The following is a 23,677-nucleotide window of genomic DNA, read 5'->3' on the forward strand; positions in this document are numbered from 1 at the left end:
GACTATCAGGAATTGACTACATAATTGTGGAACCTATTGGAAAATAAAATTACATGGAATCTTATTTAATGTCATTAAGAGTTTCAAAAATGACACACTAGAGGATTAAACTAAGTCTGGGATTCATCTATGTCCCTGGCAGTGAGACTGGGCCAATTGCTTGCCCATGAAGTCAGTCTGGCAAGAATATTTAAGTTTTTAATTTTAAATTGTTATGGATACATGACAGTTGTACATATTTATGAGGTACATATGATACTTTAATACAAGCATATAATATGTAATGATCAAATCAGGGTAATTGAGATATTCATTACATTAAGCATTTATCATTTATTTGTGTTAGAAACATTCCAATTCCACTCTTTTAGTTATTTTGAGAGGACAATAAATTATTGTTAACTATAGTCATCCCATTGTGCTATTTAACACAGCATCTTATTCCTTCTATCTAACTGTATTTTTGTATTGAATAACTGTCCCTTCTCCCTCCACCCCCCCCACCACACTCGCTAATACTCTTTCCAGATGCTGGTAACCATCATTATACACTCTATCTCCATGAGTTCATTTTTTTTTAGTTCCCAGATATGAGTGAGAACAAACAATATTTGTCTTTCTGTGTCTGGCTTATTTCACCTAACATAAGGCCATCCAGTTCCACCCATGTTGTTGCAATTAACATGATTTCATTCGTTTTTATAACCAAATAATGCTTTATTGCATATATGTACCATATTTTTTATCCATTTGTCCAGTGATCAACACTTAGGGTGATTCCATATTTTAGCTATTGTTAATTGTGCTGCAATAAACACAGGAGAGCAGATGTTTCTACAATAAACTGCTTTCCTTCCTTTTGGATATATACCCAGTAGAGGGATTGCTGGATTATATGGTAGTTCTATTTTTAGTTTTCTGAGGAACCTCCATACTGTTCTTCAAAGTGGTTGTACTAATTTACATTCCCACAAACAGCATATGAGGGCTCCCCTTTCTCTGCATCCTCACCAGCATCCCCTATTTCCTGTCTCTTTAATAAATGTCACTTTAACTGGGGTGAGATTATATCTCATTATAGCTTTGATTTATATTTCTCTGATGATTAATGATGGTGAGCATTTTTACATATACCTTTTGGCCACTTGTATGTCTTCTTTTGAAAATGTCTATTGATATCTTTGCCCATTTTAAGTTAGATTAATTTGATTATTAATATTACTTCTGGCAGCAGAAGTTTGTTTTACTTGTCTTTTATTTTTTCCTATCGAGTTCTTTGAGCTTGTCAGGAATATTTTATAAAGTTAGCTGTTTTTTTTTTAAAGAAATCTTAGCAATTTTTGACTTTTCAAAAATATCATGTCATTTTCTCTTTTTTTCTTTTTGCTGCCAGAAGTAATATCCCTTAAAAATATGACACTATTCTGTGATTGTTTCCAGATAGTCTTAAAGGAGAGAAATCACAACATGGCTGGCTACCTCCTATTGCAGGGAAAGCATAGAGGGAATCTTCTCAGCAAAAGATAGTAGCAAGAAAAAAGGAAGAAATCGCCAACAGAAGGCTCCTAGAAAGAACATCAAGAGTATAATCTAGATTCCACAGCTCATAGCTGACTCTAAGGTGATTTGAAGCTAGATTAGATTCTGCTCCAAATGCGGTGTAAAATGAATCCATGATCCAATGTAAAGGAGGTTATTGGAGGAAAAATACTTAAGTGAGTTGGAACTTTAAAGGCACATCCAACATCATGGCTCAGTTCTGGGGTAATTAGCATACATTATGGGACTTTGAGAACTTCCCCCCACTATCTTTAGTAAAAATCTTAACATGACATTTTGCAACCATTCCATTTTGAGAGTTGGCAAGAGTTTGTACTTAACAAGAAAAATCTTACAAATGTGAGTCCTATAAGGCATTTGCTATATCAAGAATAGATTTTAAAATAAATAAAACTGAAACAACAAAAACAAATCCTCAAAGCAGAGGAAAACTTCTTTTCTTTGAGCAGTATAATTTGTCTTCATGTGCAAGGTAGGAGAAATATGTGTTTAGCAGGTTTTCAGTTTAGAATCTCTTCTGTAATAAACAGTAAAGAAAAGAACCAGCTGTCTAACATCACCTAATCTGAATGAAGGTAAAACTTAATTTGAATTATTTAAGCAACAATTAGCTAAATAAGAATAGTCTAGTTGTGTCTCATCCAGCACCCCTTTTCGTCTCAGCCTGCAATGTAATCTTGGACCTCTTTATGTAGAATCTATACTTTCTTGAGTTTTATTCAGAGTATAAGCAGACATAAATTTTCTTTTTTAGTTCTGTTCAGAAATAAGCTTTTCTTTAAGTCTCACAGTCTATATGTATTTTACTATCACAATTGCAAACTATAAGGCAAGGTGGTCTCCTTAAGATGGAATTAGCCTTTCAAACATGTTGGTGATGTAAAAACTCGGAAGAGTTCCCCTGATACTGTTCTTCAAAAATTGTACTTAAAAATTCAAAAAACATTCAGAGAATTAGTTTAAAGAGGGCCTAGTGTTTGATTTCCTTTCTGTTTTTTTTTTTTCAATTTTAATAGGCTAGGTATCATTGTGAAAAATATTGTCAGATTATTAAATAATATTAGTTGCAAGGTTACATGTCAGAATAATGATGCTGTATGTAACTATTTACTAGCTAACTAAACTTGAAAATATTAAAGCCTAGATAAAGCTCTGTCTAATGGAGGCTTGTCACATGCTGCAAGCATTTTCTATCTAGTTTCATTAACTCTGGTATTATAGATCATACTATGACATTGCTAGCTCAACTGTTATGGTATGATGTTTTAAACTCTCGAAGTGTTTTCAGATACTCTTCTATGATTATCTCAATAAATATTCAGGTGAGGTAAGTAAGGCTGACTTGGTGACCTCATGTTCTTCATGTAGACATAAACTTAGAGTAATTTAGAAAAGCTATAAGAGTGTCACATCTATTTTTGCTTTTATTTTTGCTAATTATCTAGATTCCATAAATGTTCCCTGTGTAATTTGCATGTATATTCTTTTGAAAACAGCAAAAATTTATTTGAAACACAGGTAGTACCATTTTAAATCTATACTTTTACATTATACTAATGCATGATAGTAAGTCATTGAAATTTACTACAATTTATGAGACACTCTTAAATCTTTCAATTTAAAAAAATAAGTAAATATTGATAATATTTGAAAAGTTGAGGATTAAAGACTTATTTGAAGTATGTTTCAAAAGTTCCATGAAATGGCAGGACATTTAGTAATTATTAATAAAGTATATTCAATTAAATAGCTTCCAGAGATGCCCTTTTAAATTGTCATCAAGAGGTGGAGCTGTTTAATGTTTAGTGTAGTGAAAATTGGATATAAGAAATGGAATTAAAGGATTTCACAGAGCATTTTTTACTATCATAGGATATCTTAATGTTCCTATATACCTGCTGTATTATATTATAGTTTTAATTGCTGATCATCTCTTCTTACATTTTTTTCAAGGCACCATGTAGCTTCAATGTGAATAAACAACCACTAGATGGCAAATTTTCCATTTTTTAGGACACCTATAGATGGTATATCTAATTTTGAGATGGATTACATGCTTTATACTTAGTCAATATTTAATAAATTTACTTTTTTTGTAACTTTTAGCTTCTTACTCAAAAAATAATAGCAATAAAGTTCAGTGTAACATGTCAAGAACACAGAAAACGGTCTTATAATTTTCTGGTAATAAATATTAAAAATATGGAATTTTACTTACACTATTCTCTCTGATATAAACACATATGAGAAGTTTTTTAAGTTTTACAATTTAATAATACAAATTTTTGTAAATTGCACTATACAGTGAACACTACTATTATTCAAGACGTTCTATATAAGTAAAAATTCACTCATTCTCTTCCCTCCATCACAGAATTTACATTGTAAAATTCTGCCCCATTAATGTAAAGCCTATGAGCAGTATTCATACTTCCCATTGTTCATCTAGTATTGGCAATGAAGATAAAAGAAAAAAGTTTCCTATGGTTACACAGTGAAGCCTTCTGTGCAGAGATGCTTACTAGAAAAGTATTTTGACTTCCCTTTTTCTCATCTCCTATCAAGAAGAAGGCAACAAGACTCAATGTACATATTTCAGCATCAAATTCTGTAAAGTAAGTATAATGGATGACTCCTTGGGCCATATAACAAACTCAAGAAGTATTTGGCCCCAACATATGATTCAAGGCAAGTGAGATTTACATTTTTATGCAAAGTAAGGATAATAAATACAATAGATAAGTTTATGTGATTTATAATAAACATTAAAAAGAAATACACCATACAATAAGCTTTTTGTCCCATAATAACATTTTTTCATTTAATCGTAGTTTAATGAAAGTTGTTAATTAAACTAAGATTAAACATTAGTTTAAACATTAAACTAATGAACAGCTTTCGTTAAACTAAGGTTTAATTAAAAAGTTGTTAAATTTTTTATATGGCAGAATAGTATTTCATTATATGACTATTAACAAATTTATTTATTCATTCTTAATCTATTTATGTATTCTTATACTTATATAGCACTATCTTGATTAATGTAGCTTCATAACAAGTCTGGAAATCAGGAATGTTAGTTCCCAAATTTTTTAATTTTTCAAAAAATTATTTTGTTTATTCTAGGTCCTTTGAATTTTTATGTAAATTTTTAGAATAAACTCATCAATTTGTAACAAAAAAGCATGCAAAGATTTTCTTCAGTGATATGTTCATTTTATAGATCAACTGGAGAAGAATTAACCACATTAGTAGTGAGTCTTCTGATCTATGAATATTATATATTCATATTTCTTCATTATGTGGCTCTTTCTTCTCAGCATGGTCTTTCAGTGTATGAGTCTTTCACATCTTTTCTCATTTTTATTATTTCATAATTTATTAATATTATAACATGTATCATCTTTACAATTAAATGCCCAATTATTCATTGTTAATATATAGAAATACAATTGAATTTTGTATGTTTATTCTGTATCCTGCCACGTTGCTAAGCTTGCTACATTTTTTTGTCGATTTCATCAATTTTTTTATAGACAATTGTATCTGCAAAAAGTTTTATTTCTTCATTTTTACAGATATGACAAACTTGTATTCAAATAAAAAGTTTTGTATTTTTAGTAGAGACGGGGTTTCACTAAGTTGGCCAGGCTGGTCTTGAACTCTTGACCTCACGATCCACCAACCTTGGCCTCCCAAAGTGCTGGAATTACAGGCATCAAGCCTTTTTAGTGCAACAGGATTTTTGCTTATATTTATATTTCAAGATCTTCAAAACCATCTTTAATTTTGCTCAGATTATCTGTATCTTCATCAGATCTTTTCTTTAAAGTTTTAAATAACTATCTTAAATGAAGAAAAGTAAACTAATCCTTATCTGACCTAAATCAATATGAAAACTTCAGACCATTTGTTTTTTACAACTACCACAAACATACCTAAAATTATTTTAGATGGTACAATAAAATCAATAATGTGATGTATTGGTCATGACATTGAGACTCTGATTAAAATGCTGCCCGTTTTTATGCTCAGAAACTTGATTTAATTCCAACATATGCTACAGATAACAGTTTTCTGTATATTCTATAAGTGTTCTTGGTCAAAAATAACCAAAATTTGACTTAACATGTAGACATGAGAAGCATAATACCTGAGGATACATAAATTATCTTTGGAGACTTGTAAAAAGAAACCAACAAACACAAATATCTGATTAATATTATATTCTATGTTAGCCAGATACCAATTTTGATTACATATGTAGGCTTTCTTTATTTTTCTAAACAATTTGAAATAGTACCATAGAAAGGCTAATCATACAGTTTACAAAATATTCATTAAATATTTATAGAAGAAAAATACAATATTGTCCTTCAACTAGCATGTTTCATTGTTGTAATTTAAAAATTCCTATTGCATCTTGTATTTATATATAAGTACATCGTAGTATAAACTACAGTTTATACTACCTTTCTTACAAGTAGTTCTGGAGTTTTGGGTACCTGAAAATCCAATTCAATAGCCGTATATATATATAATTTTTTTTTAAGACGAAGTCTCGCTCTTGTCCCCCAGGCTGGAGTGCAGTGGCGCGATCTCGGCTTACTGTAACATCCGCCTCCAGGGTTCAAGCAATTATCCTGCCTCAGCCTCCCAAGGAGCTGGGATTACAGGCACTTGCCACCACGCTTGGCTAATTTTTGTATTTTTAGTAGAGATGGGGTTTCACCATGTTGGCCAGGCTGGTCTCGAACTCCTGACCTCAGGCGATCCACCCACCTTGGCCTCCCAAAGTGCTGGGATTACAGGCGTGAGCCACCACACCTGGCCAACAGCCCTATTTCTTACGATTGTTTTAGTTTCTCTAAAGCACACTTGCTCAGAGAGAAGGGTGCCTAGATATTGTGGACTCCTGGGTAGAACACCATGTAACGTTTATAAATTCATCCTAACATAGACAAAGTAAGCTTTCCCCAAATAAGGTATTATTTTTGCTAGTTTTGGTTTAAATAATAGTAAACTATGTAACACAGAAACCTAGGATAAAGTAGCAAAAAAAAAAAAACAAAGTAAAATTGAGTAAGTTTGTTCCATTATATTATTTTTTACTCTAAAATTTGGGGTGGTAAAGAAGATGAATATTATTTCACTTTAGTTTCATAGAAGTATAGTTTGAGAACCACGTTCCTGAGAAAGTAGTCCTTTATCATTTTCAAAGTTGGTTATCCCCTTGACTGAGGCAGAGATGATTATTGTTTTAAACAAGTGCCTGGTACATGTCCCACTAATCTCCATGAGATTTTTAATGGTGTGTGCTCTCTTTCAGTGACAATACTTTATCAATAGTTCCAATATTCATAAGCAGATTTTCTATCCTAAAGCCCTAATTTGGTCTCCAAAATAATTATTTCTTTCCATTTCTAGGTTATATTTGCATATTGTTTATTAATTATAAAATAAAATACACTGAATGAACTATAATTTAGAAAATAATAAGGTGTTTTCTAACTTGGGCTAAGAAGTCATCTTTGACTAAGGCTTATCTAGAATTTTTCCATCACTGTCAATTTAAGAAGTCTATTTAAACATTCAAACACAATCTCCACCAAGGGAAAAAGAAAATTATTTCTCCATAACCTCAGATGCTGCCTCTTTTCTTTTGTTCTGTTTGTTTGTCTAAGCATAGAGAAATAAGATTGGGCAAAATGGCCAATATGGTATCTGGAGTCAGATACAACGGGTTAAAGTCCAGCCTTATTAATAACAAGTCTGTGATTCTAGGAAAATTAATTACCCTCTTTATATTTCAGTCTTCTTATCTATGTAATCATTATACCAGAGGGATACATAAATGTAGCAGGATTATAAGATGTTATTAATTTTAACTTACGCATATAAATATTCAACATGCTAACTGGCAAAAAGCAAGTTTTTAATCAATGCCACTAAATATGATTATATCAAATATTTATTCATTTGACAGTATTTATTGAGTAACTACCTGCTCCATGGTAAGGGTAGAATGATGAGTAAAACAGACATACTCCTCTCCACTTGGAAATTCACTTACAGACAAACAAAATCAACACAGATATTCATATATGGTTACAAGCTTCAATAAGAATTTTTTTAAAAAGTAGAGAACAGTTATTCTAAGAAGACAAAACACAGGATATGAATTTGTTTCGGTGATGAAGAACTCCTTTCCTGGGAAAGGTACAGCACGTTTATGCATGACATCTCTGTGATGAATAGGGATGAACTCAGGAAGGGAGCAGTTAAGGAAAGGATAGTCTCTATGCAAAGAAGGAAAACAACTTTGTGAGTTCCAGAGGCAGTGAAAAATTATAGGGAAGGATATTAAGTCTGGAAAACAGAGGGTAAGGGGAAGGTTGGTAAGTGAATGGCCTACATAGCAGACAAAGGACAGAGCATTCAGAACCAGGTAATCCATGGTACAGATTGTCATCAGTTGGCGTCCATAGTATAAACTGTAATCAGCGAGTGTTGGAAGTCCTTTGGTGGGGAAAAAGGAGAATGAGGGAGTGAGGGATGTGGAAAAATATTTCACCATTCTTAATTTTTATTGACTTCAGTGTAGAGAATGGACTTGAGGAGGCAAAGATAATGAGGGGAGGTGATAAGAGATGGAGGTTGCAAAACTAGAGTTGAAAGAAGATCGTAGCTTAGATTAGGCGCAGACAATGGCTGTGAAGAGATGTGGGACATGCATAGGAAAGATTTTCTAAGCAAAAGCAGCAATTCTTGAAAGAATAGTGAAATTGAGGGGAAAGAAGATATTGACCAATGTGACCCTGGAATTCTGGCTTGCACAAACTAATTCGTAGAAAGCTATTCTCTGAAATACAGTAGAAGGAAATTGAGCAAGACAGAATAGGAATTATAAGCTCAATTTTGTACATGTTATATTTGACTGGACTCTATGACATCTATCAAAGAGGTCAAGAAGAGAGGTGGCTATGTAAGACTACAGTTCAGGAGAGGGGAGGGCTAGATTTAGAGATGCAAATCTGTAAAGACAGTTTATGGATGGTAGCTAAAACCATGGGATAAAATGACTGCACTCTGTAAGAATTCAGAATCTAAAAAAGCAAGCAGTTAAAACATGACATGTCTTCTCCCACTCACATCACTATAAAATGCAAGAATATAAATATTGCTCTTTGGTGTTTTAGTTTACTACATATGGAATCTTGGGCAGAAATATCCACAACAAAAATATATGGTTATCTGAATATCCAGGAAATCATATACTTTCTAATGTATATTTAGACAGGGAAGTAGAGAAATTAATGATTAATAGGCCAGTGAACTATTATAGGAAAAGTATTGTTTATGTGGTCAAGGTAGTAGAGCACTGAGATTTATTTAGGGTGGGATGCAGGTAGTGAGCATTTAATTTAGTAAGGTAAGAAAAAGGTTGGGTTTTGGCCCTAAATTGGTTTACCACAATATTTCCCACTACCTTTATGTTTCAAGTCTATGATAATTTGACCTTTCCAGAATTCTGAGATTGTGAGCAACTTTCCCCAAATGTCCTCCATCTGCTGTTCTAACCGGTTTACTCAACTGAGCTAGTCATACTTGTCTAAAGCAATGTTCTAACTAGTATAAAACTAAATGAATAAAGAGAAGATCAATAAAATGAATAAAGATAATGTCAGAGAAAGGGCCAACTCATGTTTTATATGTAAGGATTAATTTAGCAGAAAAGTCAGAATTTGTAAAATACAATGCTCATTATTAAATATGACATCATTGTTTGGTGATATGATAATGACCTAAGTGATAAAAATTGTCATACAGCATTCATATAGTTTATGTAGTCACTGATCATCATAAACACCATGTAGCTTTTCTGGATGTGCTGTCACAGAAAAAAATTAAATCCACATTACTCATGATTTTGCATACATTTCTAAAGCATAATAAAATTTCCATTCAGTATTTTACTTTGGAAATGCTGTCTTTTCTGGGCAGTGACTCCTACTTTTACTGCATATTAAAATATTATATACTGATAATGATTAATTGCTAGTTTTACTAGTGTGGTTTTCAATCAATCATGAGCAGAGAACCAATTCTCTATGAAAATTTAAGAACATATAAATCCATCAAATACATACAGTGCTAGCTGATTTGTCTAGTAAGAAACTAGACTAAAAATAAAATTGGACCTGATTTTCAATAGTTTACACATGCCTAATCTCATAAGATAATTTGATTCCAACAATAAAGATGATTTTGGTTGGTAGATGGGTTAATTTAGGAATTCTTATCACTCACAACTCTTTGTGAATAAAAATAATAAACTATTTTCAAAAGTAAGAAACTTGTTAAGTCTGGTGTTTTTTCCCTAACTAAACTGTTTGTTCTGTTATTAGTTTTAATTTATTATAATTTCTTAAGTCACTACTCCATTAATGTTTTCAAAACTCCAAATTACATAAAAGTCTTTATAAACTACTAATGCTGAATATGCCTTATTTTAAAATGTATTTGGTATAAAGTAAACTTTAAGAAAATATGAAACATTAATATTTCTAGGAGCTTATTCAAAGAATTTAAAAATTGACAAACACACATAATGTTTAAATTTCTTCCTGAGCTGTTAGAGTCTCAAAACTATCAGTTTTAATAAAATAGTAACAGATAAATACTTAACCTAGTTTCCTTTTGAATATATAAGGTGAATTGCTTAATGTTTCTGGATAATTCCTCCCAAAAAGTGTTTATATTTACTCAACAAAAGGGTATAAAAATTTCAGTACATTTGATTTTTTAAATTATAAAATTATAGGTAACTAGCATATTAAATAACTTTTAATAACATTTTATAACTTCATAGTATTCATAGTACCTAACGTTATAATTCTTTTTCCTAAAATATTTCACTTAATGGAATGATAGATAAACTTATATTTAGGTCTCCTATATATGGAAAAACCATTGACACAATTGATAATTCCAGATTATACTTCTCCCTCATTAAAATTATCTTACATTATAGTACATGTCTTAATATAACATTAGAATATGTTCAATCTCTGAAAATTAAAATTAAAAAATATATATAATGTATATAATTGAAAATTTTTAAGGATATTTTTAAATCTATAACCACATATGTCAGCATAATTAGGGAGCACATATATACATACACACACATATATACACATATAGGTTATACATATATAATTTTATCTATTCTTTTTGGTACTTAATCAAATTTATAAGAAACTGATTCAATCAACCAAAAGACTAAAAAAGATGCTTCTGTTACTAATTTGTTACTGTGTAGTAATTAAAATTTCTTAATATATACATTATCATTTTCCTATATTTCTCCTGTAGTTCTTCTTTAATAATGTATTCTGATATCACATGAATCTAAATGCAAATCATTTCATATCCTGACTATATTCCAAAACCAGTAATGATGTGGTTTAGAATAGTAATGAGTCAATTCTCTCAAAATGTAAAACTTGGGAGTTTTATGTCTATGAAGGATTTTCTGTAAGTCTTTAAAGTAGCAGAACTCTACACAAAGAAGCATAATATTTGAAATAAACTAGAAATAAATATTGAGCTGTTTACCAAGGAGACAAAATTTCAATACTGAGCCAACAAATCACAACAGCTAAATGCAAAGGGACTCCACGACAGTTTAACTCAAAGACTTACTCTGAACAAGGCAAGAGTGAACACAAAGTAAAAGGACCAGAAGAGAAGTTGGGACAGAGAATAAGACGACTGCATTTCAGGAGCAAAAAGAGAGGTAAAATAATGTTGCTGTCCAGTGGCCTCATTTTGTCCACCTCATTACTCCTGGAATAGATTCAAACCACAGGGACCTTAGATAATATGCTAAGTCAGTTACTAGGCCAATATATGAGATGCATTCTGATGATGTGTAAAGCAAAATTTCATCTTCAGATAATGGAACGACTGATATAATTTAATGACGGTAGATGACAGAAGAACACCATAATCTCAGGAATATGAGAACTATTCCACTTGAAGGCTTACAAAAATGCATGTAAGTTCAATTGGTGGCTACAACTTTGAAAACTTCCAAAAAGAAAAGTGAGGTGTCTGAACCAATAGAAATTAATGAGCAAACTTGTAATGAAATTAGAACTTGAGTAATCAAAACCAGGGTGGCATCTCTTAACCCACATTTTCAACCTGAAACATTTTAGACTTAGTAGCCACATGAGCACACGCGGTGAAATGAGTGGAAATTGAGAGATGCTTGGAAGCCCCGTGGGGACTTACTGTACCTGTGTCCACATCCTTCACCTGTTGCCTGGCTAGAGTTGTCTGGCTCCACTTTGAGCTCTTGCAGAACCAGCCCTTTTTCGTGTGGTCCAGGAAAGTCCATGCCTGGCACCACCTCCTCCTCTAGTGACTCCACGTAGAAGAGAGTCCTGGCTGGCTGCTGAGTGCCCTGCCCAGGAGCCCCTTGCTGCAGCCTCGTGGCAACTGGAAGCAGGGTGCCATTCAGCGGATTGAAGGAAGAGGAGGAAGAGGACGGGGAGGACGATGAAGAGGAAGAGGAGGAAGGCTTCTTCCAGAAAGTGCTCACACCGCTTCTCTCTTGGCTTTTGAGCAGGCGACTCTGGCTGGGTCCCCAGTGCTCAAAGCTGCCACTGCCGTCCTGTTGCAGGCAGCCTCCCCCCGCCGGGCCGCCGGTGGAAGGAGACGGGTGGCTGAAGAGTTTCCAGCGGAGTCGCAGAATGTGCTTCACATCGAAGTCTTTTCGCCCAGAGCCTGACATGCTTTACGCACAGAAGGCAAAAGGCTGGCAGCTCACGCAGGAGTAGGCTGGTCAGCAGGTGGGGGAGGACAGCGGGGCCCGGGGGCGGAGGAAGAGGCGGGATGCGCCCTCTGCACCCCTAGAGCCAGAAGACGCTAGGTGGGCTGCGCGCTCTGCCAGGCGAAGGCTGGAGCGCAGACGGCAAAGCCGCGCGTTTCAGCCGTGGTCGGGTCCGCAGGACCTGGGCGTGGGGACACCACCAGGCAGGAGCAGAGGCAGGACTGGGACGCCAAAAGCTGAGAATCCTCGATGCCCGCGCGAGAGCCCCGTGTTATGGCGAGGTGGGACAACCCTTAGGCTGGAGATGCGCGAGGGAGGGAGGTCTGAGCGCTCCGAAGCTCCGGAGGCGGCTGCAGCTGGATACACCTCACTGGGATGCGCTTGTGGCAGAGCCTTAGTAGGGAAGGTGGTGGCGTTCTTGTCCTTGCAGCTCAGAGTTCAGTGTCTGGAGAGCGCAGAGAGAAAGAGCCCCAAGTCTCGAGGAAGCGTACCCCTCGCCAGATCTCTTGGTGCACCTGCGCCCCTGTCCCTGGCCTTTTCGAGGATGCCCCGATAGCCTGCCGGGTGGCTCTGAGAAAGTCAATTGCTTTCTGCAATGCCAGAAGAGGTGGTTTTATATAGTCAGTTTGTAAAAGAGAAAAATAGATATTCTAGCGCATATAGGGAGGCAAAAGAAAAAGCCCGCCTGTGAAGCTGTCAAGGTCCTCACAGTACAATTTTCTCTCTGCCTCAGCGCCTCCTCCTCCCCTGTAAGTGACGCAGATGTGCACTGGGGCCTATACGGAGAGATGGAGGGAGGGAGGGAGGGAGGGAAGGCTTCAATCTTCTTTATGCAAGTGAGACTGCTGCTCTTATTGTCCCCTTGCGTGGGTCTTGTCACCTTTTTTCACCCTCCTTCCTCGCTACATTACTGTGTAGCAATACAAGGAAAGAAAACAGGCATTATGCTTTTGCATCAGTAAACACCACACATGAATCATGGCAGTGTAAACTTAATAGGCTGCCATCAGTTTGCAGGTTGCAGGTTAATGGCTTGAATTATTTAATGAACCGCGTCTTTTAACCTTTAGCCTTAGTTTCTCTGTAGTGAGACACAGAAGAAACGGATGCTGGCGTCAAAATGTGACGATGCCACCATCCTGACACTTACATTGTGATTCTGCTATTAAGGCACCCAGGCACTGCTTCACTCCTGGGGCCAGAGGCGTACGGTAGAAATTTGAAGATGGGCATCTGAACACGGGGGACGGGTTTTGCGAAATCAGTGCATTTGGTGTGTAGCCTCGGAATGAAAGCTGTTATCAGTGTAAATCAAGAATGGAATAAAATGATAAAAGAGAATTTCAAGGTATAACCTTCTAGTACATAAATCATTGTATACTATGCATGGAAGAGTTTAGGCAATAAATGAGAATAGCCGAAGGCTACTTACTATCTTGCAAATAGGCGTTTGGAGAAGATGTGTTTTCCCCTTATATCTATACTTAGAATGGTGAGGATTGCGATCACTTTCAGTACATGACTACTTGGAATGTTTTAACCTTTCCTTTAATGAGCCATTAAGATAGAACCCAGTAGTCTTTGTTGAAGGCAAAGGGACCAGAAATGCAATGTGTTCCCTAACTTAACCAAGAATATGGTTGTTGTCCATTCATGAAATTCACAGTTTCAGTAACCCCCAACAGAGCATAGGAATCAACCACTGAAGTGCAGTTAGGCTACTGCTCAGTTACCCCCAAGGTTGAGCTGTAAACGTAACCAGAAACCAAAGCTAAATTTGGAGTCCTTAGGCAAAGTTGGACGCTTTAATAAAATAAGAAATTAAGTGCACAAAAGACCTATTTTTAGGGGAATAAAAATCACTATAGTGCTTTTAAAATATTGATTTATGCCACAACAGCTGGACTGCAATCCCTTGTGCCTTGATTTTTCTCTCAGTATTCAGTGATTTTTTGTTTGTTTTTTGTTTATTAAGCAAAAAACCCTTTAAAGCCAACAATGGTGACAGATCATTTTTATCCAACAATGGAATCAAGTAAGCATTTCCCTTAGGGAAGAAAATAGTTTATGAAATTACACATCACAAACAGGACAGAGGAAACTTTCCATCAGAAATAATGTTGAAAGTTGAAGTGCATGTAATTAATTTATATAGAAATTAGTGCTTCATGGATTATCTCACTTGATTTATTTAAAATAATATAAAATAACATAAGTCAAGTCTCTGTATCTATATTTTTCATTCACCATTCACAAACTGTAATATAAAATTTATTTGTTATTCTAAAATTTAATTTTGCAGTTCCTTTTTCTCTGCAATACTAATAAGAATATTCCACAGTTAAAAGTTATATGTTTAAAGGACAATATTTTATATGACCCAAAGGAGATATAACATTAATTTGTGGTATAAAGGAACATGAATTAAAAATATTGTCACATTTAGCAGATGGTGAATAAAGCCTATTTGTTAGTCTTGTAGTAACATTTAGTATGTTTAAAGCACTGCCAGAGCCAATTATGTAAATATAGGTACCTTTCTATATTTGTCAATCTTAATACAATATATAAGTTTGAAAAAATCACTCTTCTTGGGAATATATTTAAATAAAATTCAACTTTATTATCAAATGAAAATATTTCGAATTTAAGAATTAAATTACGCATGAAGTTATGTTAAACTGAAATGACTGACAAAGATGATTATATTATTTTCACTTGATTGTTACCATACTACAGTGTTGTAGAAAAGGAAGGAGAAAATAAAACAAGAAAAAAAAATGGAAGAAAGAGAGGAAAGTGAGAAGGACGAGAAGAGAAGGAGAAAAAAGAAAGAGGGAGAGACTGCGAGAGAGGGAAAGACAGAGACAGGAAAGGAGGAAGGAAAATAATTTGGTTGGATATTATGGCTTAACCTGGCATATTAGATAAAATCCTTGAAAAATATACTTTGTAAAATACTGCACTAATTAATTTATCTATTATTCAAAAATAAAAAACTTTGATTGATCACTTAGGTCCAATGTAAACTAGTAACAAATATGAAGGAATTGGTCCCATGCAGCTTGCTGGAAGAACCCACAAAAGAGGACTGTTTAACCAGCCATAAGTAATAATTGACTTGTGAGTCAATTAAATTAAGATTTAAGATAACCAAGCTTATAGGCAAGAAGACATTGACATAATAAAGACCACTTTTAACAATCCCAACAAACACACTTTGTTTTAAAGACAGAAACTATTTAATTATTCTAACACTATTGAATTAAATTGAACTGTCAGTTGAATCAATCAGAGTCTTTCAAATGAATGTCCATATGGTTGCCATAGTTTCCTGAAACACTAAGCAAAAAGGTTAATCGGGATACAGAAAATCTGTAGAATGCTCAAGTATTTACTGTAATACACAAATACAAAACTCTTCGCATAAGTATTAAGTCAAGCATGGGTGTAAAATGTATCACACTGAAAGTTTCTACAACTCAAATATTTAAACAATAAGCAAAATTGGCTTTGGATCTGTTTTAGTCCATTATCTGTTACTTGTAATAGAAAACCTGAAGGTGGGTAACTTATAAAGATAAGGAATTTATTTATTATAGTTATGGAGGCTGAGAAGTCTAAGTTCTAGAGGCTGCATCTGGTGAAGGTCTTCTTCCTGGTGGGGACTCTCTGCAGAGTCCTGGAGCTGCACAGGCATCATATGGCAATGGGGTTAAGCATGCTGTCTCAGGTCCCTCTTCCTTTTCTTATAAAGCCACTAATCCCACTTCCATGATAACCCATTAATACATTAATTCTTGAGGTTCTGCCCTCGAGACCCAATCACCTCCTAAATGCCCCCCTCTCAATATTCCACAACAGAGATTAAATTTCAACATGAATTTTGGAGGGGACAAAAATTCATACCATAGCAGAATTCAAGAATTTTCTAGACTGAAAGCTTCTCACTTTTAGTGACTATTTTCTAAACAAGCACAATTAAATGTATACTTTTCCAGGAAAAGCAATTTTTTTTGTATCTTTTTGGCAGGCCTTCTGCAATGCCTAGAAATTTCTTCTACATGATAATACTCAACAAAAACATTTGAATGGCTAATTATGCTCAAATTTGAAAGTTCATGCCTTAAAATGGCTCCTGTGATTTTGTCTTTGATTAATTTTAATAAGATGTATTTATATACATTTTATTAGTCAATTTTTGCACTGCTATAAAGACATTCCTGAGACTGGGTAATTTATAAAGAAAATAAGTTTAATCAGCTCACAGTTCTGCAGAGTGTACAGCCTTCTGCTTCTGGGGAGGAGGCCTGAGGAAACTTATAATCATGGCAGAAGGCAAAGGGGAAGCAGGCACGTCCTACGTGGCTGGAGCAGGAAGAAGAGAGAGCTAATGTAAAGGTGCCACACACTTTCAAATAACCAGATCTCATGAGAGTTCTATCATGAGAACAGAAAGATGGACGCCCACCCTTATGATTCCATCACCTCACACTAGGATCCTACTCTAGCACCGGGGATTATAATTTGACATGAGATTTGGGTGGGGACACAGAGCCAAACCATATCATACATTAATATAAAATATTATTTAAAATTAGAGAATACCATTTAAAATAATTATATAGAACTTTTAATGTATACATTAAATAAAAATTGTTTTGCAGTGACTTTTTTTCCCAAAATGATTGAAACATAATATCATATAGCACTAATGCTAAGTTATCCCATGCATAATCAAGGGTTCCTACCTCTTAAAACAAATACACATAACCATTCATGGTCTATTAATCTTCATTACAGTATAGTTATAGTTTACTTAAGTGTCAATTAAGTGACTGCTTAATAAACATTTGTAGGTATTCATTGATCCCCAGGGGCCATTTTAATCCACTCAACCTCCTTGGTTTATTTGACCTTTTGATTTAGATCTGGCAATACATTTGTATAGTTGAGGAATTCTTATATAAATTGCTGAGTTAATTTCATTAGTATGTGAATTCAAAATGGCATTAAAATAGTGAATTTCTATTAATGATGAGCCAGGTTTTATTTGTGTGTCTTTTTATTTCCCAAAATTCTGTGCAGAATATTGACAGTGGTTTATGAACATTCATTATTTTCACTTTTGTGCTGGGTCCTGTCTGGTTAATCACACTGCTGAGGGACTTTATATATATAATTTTTTTTTTTTTTTTTTTTGAGATGGAGTCTCGCTCTGTCGCCGAGGCTGGAGTGCAGTGGCGTGATTCCTGCTCACTGCAACCTTCACCTCCTGGATTCAAGTGATTCTCTTGCCTCAGCCTCCCAAGTAGCTGGGACTACAGGCACCACCACCACACCCAGCTAATTTTCGTATTTTTAGTAGAGACGGGGTTTCACCATATTGGCCAGGTTGGTCTCAAACTCCTGACGCTGTGATCCTCACATCTTGGCCTCCCAAAGTGCTGGGATTACAGGCATAAGCCACAGCGCCTGGCCTATGATGTGATTTTTAAAACACTTTCTATCCCTTTTATGAAAATATTTATAGATTGAAAACAAATATATGTAGACATATAGATATAGATAAATGTAATATACATATACATTTAATAAGTATTTCAAGGATATTTTCTAATGAGTAAAACACATTTGATGGCATGATATCCTATTTTGTATAACACTAGAGTCTTTAAAAAAGAAAACTGCTTAACTAATACTTATTTACAAAGGGTTAAGATTTCCCTAGCATTAAAAAAGTAATTTCATTATTTTGTATATTGCACTGAAATTTGCCTGTATCACTGTGGGGTAAGGTGAGTCCCCTGAAACTTTAATCAGGATGATCAAAATAAAATAGTAAGATTATAGTTTATAAAATACAGATTTGGAAGTTATAGGAGTGTAAGATATTCATATAAATATAGATAAAATAGTATAACTTTGTGGATATTTTATTTTCTGTTGTCTCTTTTGAGACATGGGTTTTTGGAGACTTTAAAATATTTTCTCAAATCAGGTTACTACATTTCTCTTTCCATCTTGAGACATATTTGCCAAAACTTTATATTTTCATTCACCTGCATTATTACCAGATCTTTTAAAAATCTAGGACAAAAATGCATGGCTTTAAAAGCTAAGATCTAGTTTGTCTTAACATAATTCTAATTATGGATGTAACGTAAATTACAAATAGTTTTCAAATGCTCTTTTTCCCACAAGTTTATGTGTAAGGAATATGTGAAGTTATAACACCCCAAAACAACATTTTTTAGTTAATCTGTTTTAGAAATAGTACTGTGATTTTTATTTCAAATAAATTATATATTCAGAGTATTGGGAAGATTATTCTAAGAAATCAAATTACTTTGAAACATTATTACTAGAAGTAAATTGGCTTCCAAAATCTAATTTGAAAATCACAACTTGACACTTAATATATTTTCCTCAGTTTTACACCCAGTCAGGATGCTTTTGGCTCACCAGTCCCAAAGAATATTACTTGTCAGCCCCATGGGAAGCTAACAAGTTGACCCTTTGCCTTGAAGACTGTCTCCTGCAAATGTGGTGACCTCTCCCTTTCTGTATAACTCTAGTCACTGGCCATCATGGCACATGTAAATTCTCTTTCTTTATTGCTCAAAGGAAATATGACATGGACTTCACACAATAATATACTAAAGTCTAAAAAATATTAAAACAGATAAATCTGTAAATTAAAGCATACATATAATTATTGAAATCATAGCCTACTTAAGATTTCATGTGATGTCTAGGACAAAATTACAAGTAAAATAATAGCGGCAAAAGGAATGATGAGTTTTCAGATTATATTACATTCTTTAAATTTCTTCACACTAGATAGATTCCCAGATTAAACATAGAGTATTTTCTTCAACGGTTATGTATGAAACATTTTATACATCATATTATTATTTTCTTCTTAGTTGGATAATGACTCAAGAAACTAAGAAAGGAACTATTATTTTATGACATCCTACCAAGTGCCAGACAATGATTTCATTCTATCTTGATACAAATCTTATTTAGGTAGGCATTATAAAACAGGCTTAATATGAAAAGAAGTAGAATCAACTGGCCACTAATATTTTCTTATATTAATTGTTTTAGATACTCCTCCATAAGCCGTACTTTTTCTCCTATTTTAAAATTAACGTATGAGAACTAAAAAAAATGACAAACTCATTAAAGGCAGAGATTCTCAATATCATTTCCTCAGCTGTGTGAGCTCTGCTTGAATAGAAGAGAGACTCCTGGTATTCTCAAAATTGAGCTCTCTTTCTAACGTGTGTGTGTGTGTGTGTGTGCATGTGTGGGTGTGTTAGTCCCTTTTGTGCTGCTATAACAGAACACTACATACTGGGTAATTTATAAATAACATAAATTTATTCTCTCATAGTTCTGGAGGCTGGGAAGTTCAAGACCAATGCACGAGAATTTGGTCTAAAGAGAATCTTCTTGCTCTGAACACACATAGTAGAAGGCAGAAGGGCAAGAGAGAGAACAAAGTCTGTGTCTCCACATGGCAGAAGAGCAGAGGAGACAGAACCTACTCCTGTAAGTCCATTTTATAATGTCATTAATCCATTCACAGGGAGGGAGTCCTCATGACAGAAACACCTCCCAAAAGGCTCACTTCCCAACACTGTGGCATTAGGGATTAAGTTTCCAACAGAAGAATGTGAAGAAATAAGTTCAGACCACAGCAGTGTGTATTGTTTTCAAGTCTATATGTATGTTTGTGTATTTGTGTAGATACATGGGTGGCTATATCTCTATAGAAACAAAAGTAATGGTTTTTTTGGGGGGGCAACACATTTTGGAAAATGAAGATGGTCTTACTAGACTAGGATGGTTCTGCAGGGCAAAGAACATGTCTTATTTAATTTTGAATTCACAGTGTCTAACTGTCTATCATGGCATGAAACACCAGTAAATAATGGATGGTTTTGAGTTTATCATAATGAGAAATGGATAAGAGTAATAACACTTTATAGTGGAGGAGAGGTCAGGAAACATATAATACTTTTTTTAAAAAGTACTGTGAAACTGTGGTTCTACAATTATTTAGTATGAAAACAAATAGAATTATAAAAATAGTGGTTTCAGAATATTTTGGTGCCCTCATTTGTATTTCTAAAGTACTATAAAATACTCAAGAAAAATTAAGCATATATTATGTATATTCAGTTTATCAAACAGGAAATGCAATGTGCAAGTTAGGAAGTGCTTTTATTGTAATTCTCAAAATTGTATTTTTAAATCAAGAAAGAAATCTTCACATTTAAATCCATAAGCTTTAGTTACATTAAAAATTCAGTCTCTGCATTATCATCCTTTCATTTATTCAAACACATTTTTTATTGAGCACTTACTCTGTGCCAAGCCATGTTCATGGTGATGGGGGTGTATCAGTTAAAAAAAAAAAAAAGTAGACCAAAATCTGTGCCCTCAAGCACCTTACATTCTTGAGGTGAGAGATAGAAACTAAAATTCAACAAATAGTAAGTGTATCAGATAATGGAGACATCATCCAGGGAGATAAATAAACCATGGAAGAAATACAGAGAGTTTTGAAGGAAAGGGGGGCTGAGCTTTAAGTAATCTATGTGCTTAAGCTCCACTGATAAGGTGGTATTTCTCCTGTGTCCAAAAATAAGTGAAAGCATGGACTGTTCGTGTATGAGCGACAGTGCCATAGCAGAAGGAATAGAAAAGCAAGGGCCTGGGGCCATGATAAAGTTTGGTGTATTTAAGGGGTAATAAGTACTAGAAGCGAGTGAGCAGAAACGAAACGAGCTCTATTGGAGTTCAAGGAGGCAGCAGACAAGATACCAGATCACTTACAGGATCTTTTAAGCCAGTGCACAAATATTAGTTTTTATTCTGAATGAGATGGAAAGCCATTGGAGGATTTGGAGCATTGGAGTGATAGCATCTGACTTCCATTTTCTAAGATCACTCTGGCAGATGTGATAGGAATAAACAGAAGAAAGCAAGGTAGAGAAAAGAAAAACAATGGACAGACTATAGAATAAAGAATCTAAGAGATGATGTAAATGTGGACCAGACATTGTTGCCAGGTCTGGCATTCATAGGGAATCGATTTTCCCTAAAGTTCATGGTCTTTTTCTTTTCATTTTTAGATGGGAAGCTATGTTATAGATAGTCTTGTCTATCTTTTACTCCCCTAAAATAACTAATTTCCCTATTTTTTTCTGTTCTTCACTGATGCAGAATGCTCACATAAACCTAAAGCATGTTCAGGTCTTCCTCGGCTATATATTCCTACAAGATAAAGTAATTTATATTTTACCCTGATTTACAAAAGAGGGTATAAACTTGTACTTATGCAACATGAATATGTTTTATACCTAATTTACGGCATAAGGACTATAGTCAACAATGTTCTATTACACTAGAAAGTTGCTAAGACAGCAGATTTGGATGCTCTCATCTCTCCCTGTCTCTCTCCTTCTCTCTCACACACATACACATATGCACACACAAAAGTAACCATTTTAGGTGATGAATATGTTGATTTGCTTAACTGTGGTAATCAGTTAACTATATATACCTATATCAAAACATCATGTTGTATACTTTAAATATATACAATTATAAAAATGAAAAAAACTATGCTTTTTCCTGGTGCATTTCAAATTTAGCTAGAGGGATAATCAAAGCTCTTCCTCACTCTTCAAGGATTGACAAAAATGCTATGGGCAGTGCAAGAAGTCACAGCTTGAGCAGTGCATCCTATAAAGATATTTGCATAAAGCATTTAAATTATAACATTTGAAAAACAGTATGTGCATTATTCCTCCTAGTTGCCTACTGACTGGAAAGCAACATTGTAGAATGGAACGTCACAGGCTTTGAAATCAAATCATGACCCAAACCCTTCTCTGCTGCTTACAATTTGTATAACCTTGGGCAAAGTACTTAATTTCTTTGAGTCTCAGCTTTCTTATCTGCAAAATAGAAGTTAACGTGTAGGTCAAATAAAATAAAACCTGTTAAACAAGTAGCACATTGTTGGTGTCTAAGTAAAGGTAGATATTGATGTTTACTTTGAAAATATTTGTATATTTAAATGACCTTTATATTGTTGTAAAAAAAAGTTTAAAAATAAAGCTTTCAATACTTAGTTGGCTTTGCAACTTTCAAAGGCATTTTGTAAAATATCCAGATTACTATTCACTTGAGTATTCACAACATAGAATCACTGATTAATCACAACATTGATTTTTTGGTGAGCTTGTAGTTTTGTAAGTCAATGACAAAAATTGAAAATCAATCTTTTACATTATTTTGTTCTAGGAATAGTCAGAATTCATAGATGTCTGCATATTAGGGATATTCTAAAATCATTTCAAGTAGGAGAACTGTAATAAAATATTTGCTTCAGTTGACAAATCACTTAAGTTAATTTTATCCTCTCCTGTGAGTTGGGAGAATAATGAGAAGTTAATGAATAAGTAATTTAGATTACAAAAAAAATCTTGGCAATAGTCTGTAAGGAACTTAACAGAAATGACATTTCACTAAGTAAATCTCTGATAGTGTGAGTGAAACAATAAATTTTACTAGGAAAACTAGAGGTTATTTTGTCAGTTATGAAACCTGACCATTAATATTTATTGAACTGGGTATATGGAATTTATGGATATTATCTACCAGATATAATGCATTATAAAGCCATCATTGTGGGATTTTTTGTAGAAAAAAAATTTATTCAAATGACATGCTAGTCACATTTCTGGTTTTGAGTAAGAATGCCATATATACATATATGCATTTATATATTTCATTTATACATAGAGAGGAAGAGAGAGAGAGACTGGAAATTTTTTTAAAAAATTAATTTGTTTCAAAGAAACAGGCTATCAGTAAGCTAACTTTTCTACACTTATGTTATTTTTATGACTATCACAGAATGCTAGAATAATTTGTATTATAAAATAGACTTAAAATTTCCTCTGATTTTGTAGATTCCTGCCTGTGGAAACTAAAATTGGCACTTATATTCAACAGAACAAGCTTACCAGAAGATTCATTTATTATTTCTGATATACTCTTACAGATATATACTTTTTTTTTTTTTTGAGACAGAGTTTAGCTCTTGTTGCCCAGGCTGGAGTGCAGTGGCACAATCTTGGCTCAGATATATACTTTTATACGAGCATTGCAAACCCAGACTATAGATTTCTGGCACTCAAAAATATGTCAAGCCATGGAAAGCTAATTGAAACCACTGAATATTTCAAT

The 23,677-nt window shown here is 34.0% G+C and overlaps 1 protein-coding gene and 1 non-coding gene across 12 annotated transcripts in view; one reads left to right on the forward strand and one right to left on the reverse strand.

Annotated features, from left to right (window-relative positions):
- KLHL1 (kelch like family member 1) overlaps positions 1-13,117 on the reverse strand; it is a 407,856-nt gene extending 394,739 nt beyond the window's left edge. For both annotated transcript variants that reach the window (NM_001286725.2, NM_020866.3), the window contains exon 1: positions 11,868-13,117. In NM_001286725.2, coding sequence (NP_001273654.1) covers positions 11,868-12,364 — 497 coding nt within the window. In that variant the 5' untranslated portion in view covers positions 12,365-13,117. The remainder of the gene's footprint in view (positions 1-11,867) is intronic.
- ATXN8OS (ATXN8 opposite strand lncRNA) overlaps positions 12,086-23,677 on the forward strand; it is a 64,318-nt gene continuing 52,726 nt past the window's right edge. For 5 of the 10 annotated variants that reach the window (NR_185834.1, NR_185835.1, NR_185838.1 and 2 more), the window contains exons 1-2: positions 12,491-12,684; positions 19,806-19,963. This is a non-coding gene — a non-coding RNA (ATXN8 opposite strand lncRNA). Of the gene's footprint in view, positions 12,407-12,490; positions 13,153-19,805; positions 19,964-23,677 lie in introns of those variants that run through there. The other 5 variants (NR_185836.1, NR_185837.1, NR_185840.1 and 2 more) reach the window with 2 other exon arrangements.

This window comes from Homo sapiens, chromosome 13, assembly GCF_000001405.40.
Source record: "Homo sapiens chromosome 13, GRCh38.p14 Primary Assembly".
In the NCBI taxonomy this organism is placed as follows: Eukaryota; Metazoa; Chordata; class Mammalia; order Primates; family Hominidae; genus Homo; species Homo sapiens.